We start from the raw sequence: 10508 nt of genomic DNA, 5'->3' as shown, positions 1-10508 counted from the left end.
AGACATCCCACAGGATGCTAATAAGAATGTCTTTTTAAAAAGTGTTTTCTGTGTACACTTTTAGACACACTTGTCTCCTCAGTCTCAGATGAAACAATAGCTGTGGGAGTCTTTGTATCCTAAAAAGTGCTGTAAAACTATGAGGGCATGTTTTATTGTTGCTAGTGTTATCATAATCATCTTCATTATTTTTAGGAATTCTGTCTGTAGCCTCCTGGGACTCCACTCTGTGGTGCTGAATAAGAATAACTAACATTTACTGAGCGTTGCCTATGTGCCAAGCACTGTTCTAAGTGCCTTCCGTATATTAACTAATTTATTCCTTAAAGCTACCCAGGTATTATGGCCATCTGAGGAAAAAAGACACAGAATCTGAGGATCCTATGAGTAATAGATGTAAAATCCTTAAAAGAAAGCCCTTACAAGTGCTACGCAAGTGCTTGCCATTATCATTATCCCCATTGCACAGAGGAGGAAACTGAGGCACAGAGCAGTTAAGTGACTTGCTCTAGACCACACTAATAGTAAGTGAGTTGGAACCCAGGCAGCCAGGGGCAGGGCCTGTCCTGGTACCCACTGTGGTATCCTGCCTCTGTACCAGCCACGGAAAGGAAACCCCAGGTTTGCACCCTCATCAGCAAAGCCAGAATTTCCTGTGAGTGCCTCCTGTCTGCGTAGGACCTCCTCCCCCATCTGTCCATCATAACCACCGCCACAAACACCCTCATAGAAAAAGAAAAGGGACAAAATTTGGGGTTAGACAACCCTGGATTGGACCCTGACCTAATAATTTACTGGCTGAGTGACCTTAGACAAATAACCATCAGTTTCCTCTTCAGTAAAAAGAGCGCCTCATCTACCTCACAGGTTTGTGTGAGGATAGACTAACATCCTGGATATAAAGCACTTTGCACAGGGCCCAATGCCTACTTCTGCTTCTGCCTCCTCTGAGAAGACTTCCCTGACTGTGCCTCCCTCCCCCTAGAAGGGATCAAGGCCCCTCCACTGTATTCCCCTGCTTATACCCCACCTCAGCCTGCCAAATCCTTGGTCTTGAAATTATGGCTTCATGTGTCTGTCTCCCTCACCTTCACAAAACTGAGTTCCAAAAATCAGTCTTCTTCACTGCTATATCCCCAGGTTCTAGCACTACCAAGCTCAGCACACAGTAGGAGCTCAATAAATGTTTGCTGACTGAATGACTGAATCATAACCAGAAGGATAGCTGATATTAATTATTGAGAGCCTGCACTAGGCCATGTTCTATACATTTCATATAGATTCTAACTCATTTAACACAACAATCATATGATGTAATTACTAGTGTTTTCCCATTTGAGGAAACTGAGGCACAGAGACATGCCTAGTAAATAGTGGAGACAGAATGTCCACCCAGTCAGTCTGGCTTTAGAATCTGCAAGCTTAGTAAGTGAGTGGACAGATGGGTGCCAGCCTACCTACCCTCACAGGGCTGCCGAGAAGGCCAGACGACACTAAAGTACTGCATACGCATGAAGCCTTCTTGTGACTAAGCCCCGGGAAAGGAAGGAGTTCCAGCTCAGACCCTGCTTCTCCCTGGGCTTTTGTTTCCCATCTATGCAGTAAGGACTGGACTTGATAATATCAGGGCTCTTAACACTCTCAGTGGTGCCCGTCTGCAGGCCTAGGGTGTTAACAGAGCAGGAGAAAAAAAAGATAGTTGAGCCAAGAGAGACCTATAAACAGTGTGGTTGCTAGGCCAGCCCAGCCTGGAGCAGAGGGCAGGCCAGTGGCCAGCAGAGCCAGGAGGGGCCACGCAGCTGCCTCTGAGCACCCAGGTCAGAGCTGGCTCTCATTCACCAGGAGTGAGGGTCAGAGTCAAGGTCCTGGCCAGGCTAATATGATGCAATAATTAAGGACAATAATGATCATTTGAAAGGAACCATCACTTTACAGTTTGTGTTATTTTCATCTGGGCCTCACGCCAAGCCTGTGATTATTATCGCTGAAAACTAAGACTGAGAGAGGCCTGGGGCTCAGTCCAGGGTCACACAGTGGGGCAGCGTCTAGACCCCACATAACCTGTTGATTAGCTGATCACTTAAACTGCAGCAAGTCATATTTTAGAAATTGCTGGTTCTTTAAGGAGTGAGCAGGCAGGACCCAGGTGGCATGCCTGGGCTACCAGCAAGTAAGAGAAGTAGCCATTTTCACTCATTAAAAGTTTGGCCATGCAAGCAAAGTGGTCACATGGGGCAGGCCCATATCCTTGGGGCTCAGGTCGCAGCTGGACCTGGCATCAGCTCAGGCTGCTGTAACTGGGCCCCAGGTGTCCTGTTGAGCCCAAGTACCCCTGGGAGACTCCCAGGCCACTGAGGTCCAGCTCATTATGGCCTAATTGTTGGCAAATCACTCAGCTGACCTCAGGGACAGAGAGCCATAAGCTCACAGTGAGAAAAGTTTGAGGAGCTACAACTTTTTCCCATGCGGCCCACAGCTTTCTCCACGGTGGCCGAAACTTTTCCAGCCCTTGGGGGGCACAGAGCTTTCTCCAGGTTGCCCAGGCACACCATGGATACGCTGCTGTCACCGCTGGGGCTGGTACAACCCTCAGCTGCAGCCTGGCGGTCTGAGGCACAACTGGGCTCCCCAGAGCCTCGACGATGCTCTCAACCTGGCAGGGGGTGCCCTAGCCCTATCCTCTACTCCTCCCAGCCCATCCTGGGACACTAGGTGGGACTTAGTCACAGCCAGGGCCGAGCACTGCATGCCTGAAGGTGCAGAGATGTCTGGTTGTCAATATGATGATGGGCCCCCAGTCCCACTGCAGTTCACAGAGGCCATTCACCCACCTGAGCCCGTCTTCAGGCATATAGTTTTCGGCCCCGGCTGTGACTAAGTCCCACCTAGTGTCCCAGGATGGGCTGGGAGGAGTGGAGGATACGGCTAGGGCACCCCCTGACAGGTTGAGAGCATCGTTGAGGCTCTGAGGAGCCCAGTTGTGCCTCAGCAGAAACAGAGAGCTTGCTATGGAAACTCAACTTCAAGATGCGTCCCACAACTCCCTTTCAATCAGATGGGGGCCCACATTCTCTCTGAGAGAGAAATCCTCGAATGCTCCCCCCTCTCCCCCTCACAGACCCTTAGGAAAGGCCTGAGCTCAGTGGTCCCAGCTAAGTGTGATGGACATTCGGGATGGGACCAGGGCCAGGTGGCTCTGGCCTCCATTTCCTAGCGGGTCTCAACCCCAGGTGGTAGCAGGAGGGAGCTGGGCCTGGGACCTTCTTACGGCCCTGAATCACTGTTGGCTTCTTGATGACCACTGACTTTCCCAGCCAGTCCCTGCCAGGACCAAACCTGCAGGAGTCGGGGACTCTGGGGGAGGAGGAGGCTGAGCATTCAGATGGGGAAGGCCTGAGGAAGTGACCCAAGTTGATCCAAGGTCCTCTGGAGAATATTAAAGGGAGCTCAGAGGAGCCACACACAGCCCCAGATTAAATGTGGGAACCAGCAGAGTGGGGTTTAGAGTCAGGCAGCCCAGATTCAATCCCAGCTCTGCTACTTCCTGGCTGTGTGGCCATGGGCAATACCTTTCCCTGTTTCCTCTTCCCTAAAATAGGGATAATCATAGGACTAACCACAAAAATTAGACATAAGGTTTTAGCTAATATTTATATAGAGTCCATAATGTATGTTAGTAATTGTGCTAAATAAATTATAGGTATCACTTCATCTAATCCTCTGAACACCGCTGCGAGGCTTCACTTGTTTGGAGCTGTATGTTACACCCTAGCCTAGTAAGTGCTCAATAAACATGTGCTGACTGAGTGAATCAATGAACGAAGATGTCAGTGCTATTTTTATGCCCATTTTTCAGAAGAGCACTCTGAGGCTCAAAGACAGGAAGCAACTTGCCAGGACCACACAGGGCCAGAACCAGATCCCAGGTCTCCTGCCTCAGGCCCTGACACCAGCATGGCCCCACAGACAGTCCTATGGCTGGGGCAGAGGGGTGCACCAGTGATGTCTGAGGATGAGGTACCTCAAACTACCTACCCACAGGCACAGGCTGCACCTTCCTCAGGCACAGTCCCTCCAGCAAGACATGAGCCCGGGTGGCCTTGGACACATGTGGTGCTTGGGTGCCACCTTGTGGCTCTGGGCAGTGCAGGCTGAACCTGGCCAGACCAAGCAGCCTGAAGCTGCTGGGCCAGTCCCATAACCAGGAGAGGCCAGAGAGCCACCAGTCCACAGATCCTGTGCAGGGCCCCAGCCTAGTCATGGATAGAGAAGGACAGACTTCTCCAAAAGCTTCATTCAAAGACCAAAAAGCCCCTGGAACCCAATAATTTGTGTATGGGTGGGAGAGGGGCTAGGGTTATACAGCTGGGTTGCTTCTGTGTCCACCAGGGGCCTGAGGCCTCCTGGCTTTCTGGGGCGCCGAACCCTGAGGGCCTCTCGTCTGCCCCTCCCACACAACACACACGCAGGAGCCGTATCATGCCTCTTGCCAGATTTCCCACTGCCTACAGCCTGAGGTCATTGGGTCTGCAGCCTAGTTTCTTAAGGCTAGGATGCCCAGCCTGAAGGCCCATCTAGCAAATAGTTTCCACCTCTCCTTCCTGTACATTAGACCCATAAAGAGGCAGGCCCTGACCAAGATCACACAGCAAGGCCATGGAGGGTGGGCTCCACGCCAAGGCCTTCAGACTGTCAGGCCAGTGGATTCTCAGTAAGGCCCCTTCTCTCTTAAAATTAAACAGCACAGCAAGTGCTTTAATTCAGTCACGCATTCATTCAACCTGATGATCCCTGCCCCCATGGACTCAGAATAGAGTGTCCCTTCCCATGTCACAGTCCTGCAGGGGTCAAGGGACTACCACCCACCTGTGCCCAGGCCAAGCATCTTACAGGAAAAAAAAGTGTAGGGAACAGAACCACGCTTTATTTCAAGTCCCAAACCTGCCACTTACTAGTACTGAGCCTTGACTAAGGACGACCTCTCTGAGCCTCAGTTTCTTCATCTGTAACATGGGCTTGATATTCGCTACCTTGCAAGGGGTTGCGAGGTTTAAACAAGATATGGCATATAACACCCCAAATGAGGGACCTGGCCAGGGCAGGAGCTGATTAAATGGGCTCTTCCTTCCCTGTAGCCCCTGGCCTGCCAGAGGTGGGGCCAACTGAAGGAGACTAGAGGAGGCTGAAGCCCTCCAGCCACAACTCATAACAGGGACCTGATGCCCAAACTTCCCAAAGTCAGACCCCAGGCTCAGGCAGATCAGGGCAGACTCTTCAGAATCAGGCAGTTGGTGCCCCTCTTCCTCAGGGCCCTGACTTTTCTCCTTTGGGGCTTAAAGAATGGATCCCCAGGTGAGTCTGCTAAGGAGGAGAAGGTGCCTGGTGCAGGGAGGCAACCTGGCTACAGGCAGGGGTCAGGGGCCAGCCTGGCTCCGCTCATCACCTCTCACTGAAAGACCTCTAATCAGGCCCCTTCCCCTAACTGAGGCAAGGCCAAGGCCCTGAAGCTTGTCTGGAGGAATTCGCCCCCACCCTGCATGGGAGATTTGAGAGCTACCCCACTGAGAAAAGGAAGCCTCCTCATCTGGGCCAGGGGCCTACTTGCCTGCCGCCTCATGGAAGGTATTTACTGTTTTGTGCCGCTAACAGAATACCTGAGACTGGGAAATGTATAAAGAAATTTATTTGGCTCACAGTTCTGGAGGCTGGGAAGTCCACAGGCATGGTGCCGGCATCTGCTCAGCATCTGGTGAGGGCCTTCTTGCTGTGTCATCCTGCAGCAGAAGTGGAGGGACAAGAGAGCATGAGAGAGGAAGGGAAAGGGGACCAAACTCATCATTGTATCAGGAATCCATTCCTGTGATAATGGCATTAATCCATTCATGAGGGCAGAGTAATCCATTCATTACATAATCACCTCTTAAAGGTCCCACCTCTCAACATTGTTTCATTGGAGATTAAGTTGCCAATACATGAACTTTGGGGGACACATGCAAACCAAACCAGAAATTTTCTTTGGCCCACTTTCCTAGAAGAGCAGCTAAGGTTGGAGAGGCCAGAGGATCCCCCTGAGGGGACAGAGACCCATTTTTAAGACTAGATACAGCAGGATAGGAGGTATTAGCCTGAGTGAGTAGGGTGGGCAAGAGGAGAGGAGACCTGGCTTGTCCTGGTCCCATGCCTGCCTCATTTGGAGAAAACAATCTGCCCCCAGTGCCAAAAGCTCCTCCAGCTCCCAGCAATCAGGGTGAACTCAGGAGATAGGAGTCAGGGGGCCAACTCCAGACCTGGTTCTGTTACCAACTGGCTATGAGATTGCTCACTCCAAAGCTCAGTTCCCTCATCTGTAAAGTGGGTTGGTACCACCTACCTCCCAAGTGTTCGAAAAATCAAGTCAATTGGGGAACATGAAAGAGCTTCCCAAACTACAATCATACAAAATTCACTAGAAACATCACAAGTTTGATGCAGGAAGGGAAAGGCCATGAGAAGCCACCAGTCCAACATCTACCTTCTATGGAAGAGGAAATAAGAGTCCCTGGCCCAAGGGCACTTGCCAGAACCTGTGTCAGATCTCAAGCTTCTTGACTCGCTTCTCCTCTCTGCTTCCTTTCGGTGTACCCAGGCTGAGGCCTTGTACACTCAGTTTCCCAAGGCTGGGTGGTTGGGGTTGGTGTACAAAAAGGAGTTACAGATTAGAAGCTCTTAGAAGTCCTGCCCAAAGTTAGAGTGGATTATGCAGCCTGCAAACCAATGGTTAGCAGAGGAAGGGGTTGACTGAGAGCATCAGCTTGCAACTCCACCCCCCACCCCCAACAGAGGGGTGACAGTACATTTCATATGGCCTGAGGAAAGGCTACCCAACCTACAGCCTCTGCAGCTGCTGGATGATCCCAGGGTCAAAACAGAAGCCATTGGCACGGATTCCAGTGCCCCCAGCAGCAGTTACTATGCATTTCACAAGCCCTGAGGACAGACTCCCCTGCCCCACAGCCACTGCCACTGCCAAAGCACAAGCAAAGTGCATGCTCCCCAGCTCCCTGCCTACTGCTGCCAAAGCACAAGCAAAGTGCATGCTCCCCAGCTCCCTGCCTACTGCTGCCAAAGCACAAGCAAAGTGCATGCTCCCCAGCTCCCTGCCTACTGCTGCCAAAGCACAAGCAAAGTGCATGCTCCCCAGCTCCCTGCCTACTGCTGCTGCCACTGAAAGCAACCCTGTGCTCCCCAGTAGCAGGGTGGCAGTGACACCTCCACCCCAACATACCACCAGGAGCCTAGGGATCACCTGCCTCTGCCTAACACAGCCAGTGCCTACACACACTACTAAGGGGCCTAAGGAGCCAGGCCTGGCTCCACTCCTCCTTCCCAGTGCCTAAGCATGTCATCTTTGGGTATGGGAATCACCCAACCCAGTTCATCACCTTTGGCACCCAAACACTTTCCCAGGGCCTGAGATCAGGCCCACCCAACCTGCCTCTACCACCACAGCTGACACCCACACATACGTACGCACTATGTGCCTAGGGACTGGCCTCCCAAGCCCAATGCAGCCACCAGAAATTATTTAATAAAATCATGTATCAATAATAACCTTGAATACAAACAGATTAAACTTTCCAAATAAAAGACAAAGACTGGCTAAATGAATTAAAAAACATGACCCAACTATATGCTTCCTAAAAGAAACTCACCTTATGTATAAAGACACATATAGATTTAAACTAAAGGGATGAAAAAAGTCCATGCAAATGAAAACCAAAGGCAAGCAGGAATAGCTGTACATATAAGAGATAAGACAGACTTTAAGTCAAAAACAATAAAAAGAGATAAAGACAATCATTATATAATGATAAAGGGATCAATTTGGCAAAAGAATATAACAATTCTAAACATATATGCACCCAACATCAGAGCACCCAGATATATAAAGCAAATATTATTAGATGTAAAGAAAGAAGTAGACTCCAGTACAATAAGAGTTGTGAACTTCAACACCCCACTCTCAGCATTAAACAGATTATCTAGACCAAGCTTGTTCAACCTATGGCCTGCAGGCCACATGCAGCCCAGGATGGCTTTGAATGCAGCTCAACACAAATTCATAAACTTTCTTAAAACATAATGAGAGCTTTTGCAATTTATTTTAAGCTCATCAGCTATTCGTTAGTGTTACTGTATTTTATGTGTGGCTCAAGACAATTCTTTTTCCAATGTGCCTTAGGGAAGCCAAGAAATTGGACACCCCTGATCTAGACAGAAAATTAACAAAGAAACATTGAATTAAAACTGCACATTATACCAAATATACCTAACAAAAATTTACAGGACATTTCATCCAACAGCTACAAAACACACATTCTTCTCATCAGCATATGGAACATGCTCCAGGATAAACCATATGTTAGCACACAAAACAAGTCTCCACAAATTTTTAAATATCAAAATCATATGAAGTACCTTCTCAGACCACAATAAAATAAAACCAGAAGTTAATAACAAGAGGAATGTTGGAAACTGCACAAATATATGGAAATTAAACAACATGTCCCTGAATGGCCATTGGATCAAAAAAGAAATTTAAAAGGAAATCAAAAAATTTCTTGAAACAAATGAAAATCAAAACACAACATACCAAAATCTATGGGATACAGCAAAAGCAGTGCTAAATGGTAGTTTATAGCAATAAATGCCTACATCAAAAAAGTGGAAAGAATTCAAATAATCTAACAATGCACCTCAAGGAATGAGAAAAGCAAGAGAAAACCAAAACCAAAATTAGTGGAAGAAAAAGTCTACACTGTATGTATCAAAACATAACTTGGGATTCCATAAATATGTACTATTATTATATGCCAATTAAAAAAGAAAACAAGCTTTTAAAAATAAAATAAAATACCTAGGAATAAATTTAATCGTGAGGCAAAAAACAAGGAAAACTACAAAACACTGATGAAATAAATTAAAGAGGACACAAACAAATGGAAAGAGAGCCTATGTTCTTAAATCAAAATAATTGATGTCCTTAAGATGACTATACTGGCCGGGCACGGTGGCTCACACCTGTAATCCTAACACTTTGGGAAGCCGAGGCAGGTGGATCACCTGAGGTCAGGAGTTCAAGACCAGCCTGGCCAACATGGTGAAACCCCATCTCTATTAAAAATACAAAGTTAGCCAGGCATGGTGGCACACACCTGTAATCCCAGCTACTCAGGAGGCTGAGGAAGGAGAATCGCTTGAACCTGAGAGGTGGAGGTTGCAGTGAGCCAAGATTGTGCCACTGCACTCCAGCCTGAGCAACGGGAGTGAGACTCCATCTAAAAAAAAAAAAAAAAAAAAAAAAAAAAGATGACCACACTGCCCAAAAAAACCACAGATTCAAGGCAATCACTATCAAAATACCAATGTCAGTTTTGACAGAAATAGAAAAAACAACACTAAAACTATTCTGGAACCAAAAAGGAGCCTAAATAGCCAAAGCAATCCTGAGCAAAAACAACAAAGCCGAAAGTTTCACACTAGCTGACTTCAGAATATATCACAAAGCTATATTAACCAAAGCAGCATGCTATTGGAATAAAAACAGACACATAGAACAATAAAACAGAATAGAGAATCCAGAAATACATGCATGTGTTTACAGCCAATGATTTCCAACAAAAGTGCCAAGAATATACATTGAAGGACAGTCTCTTGAATAAACAGTGCTGGGAAAGTTGGATATCCATATGTGAAAGAATGAAACTAGACCCTATTTCTCACTATACAAAAAATCAACTCAGGATGGATTAAAGACTTAAACGTAACACCCAAAATTATAAAACCAATAGAAGAAAGCATAAAGCACAGGGAAACACTTTAGGACTTTGGTGTAGGCAAAGATTTTATGGCTAAGACATCAAAAGCATAGGCAACAAAAACAAAACTAGACAAATGGGACTATATTAAACTAAAAAGTTTCTGTGCAGCGAAGGAAACAATCAATAAAGTGAAGAGACGACCTCCTGATTGGGATAAAATATTTACAAATTATTCATCCAACAAAGAACTAATATCCCGAGAATATCCAAGGAATTCAAACAGCTCAGCAGTAAGAAAACAAATAACCTCATTTAAAAGTGGGCAAAGTGGGGAGGAGCCAAGATGGCCGAATAGGAACAGCTCCCGTCTACAGCTCCCAGCGTGAGCGACGCAGAAGACGGGTGATTTCCGCATTTCCATCTGAGGTACCGGGTTCATCTCACTAGGGAGTGCCAGACAGTGGGCGCAGGTCAGTGGGTGCGCGCACCGTGCGCGAGCCGAAGCAGGGTGAGGCATTGCCTCACTTGGGAAGCGCAAGGGGTCAGGGAGTTAGTTCCCTTTCCCAGTCAAAGAAAGGGGTGACGGACAGCACCTGGAAAATCGGGTCACTCCCACCCGAATACTCCGTTTTTCCGACGGGCTTAAAAAACGGCGCACCACCAGATTATATCCCACACCTGGCTCGGAGGGTCCTACACCCACGGAGT

General features: G+C 47.8%; 2 annotated features.

Annotated features, from left to right (window-relative positions):
* Nucleotides 6612-7138: an enhancer, noted in NCBI's record as "H3K4me1 hESC enhancer chr11:4200498-4201024 (GRCh37/hg19 assembly coordinates)". NCBI's record gives its function as "activates a minimal SCP1, AML or CMV promoter by ChIP-STARR-seq in primed H9 embryonic stem cells {active_cell/tissue: H9 hESC(primed)}" and the evidence as "EXISTENCE:reporter gene assay evidence [ECO:0000049][PMID:30033119]".
* Nucleotides 7139-7666: an enhancer, noted in NCBI's record as "H3K4me1 hESC enhancer chr11:4199970-4200497 (GRCh37/hg19 assembly coordinates)". NCBI's record gives its function as "activates a minimal SCP1, AML or CMV promoter by ChIP-STARR-seq in primed H9 embryonic stem cells {active_cell/tissue: H9 hESC(primed)}" and the evidence as "EXISTENCE:reporter gene assay evidence [ECO:0000049][PMID:30033119]".

Source organism: Homo sapiens, chromosome 11 (genome assembly GCF_000001405.40).
Source record: "Homo sapiens chromosome 11, GRCh38.p14 Primary Assembly".
Taxonomy (NCBI): Eukaryota; Metazoa; Chordata; class Mammalia; order Primates; family Hominidae; genus Homo; species Homo sapiens.
This window is presented reverse-complemented; position numbering and strand designations above follow the sequence as displayed.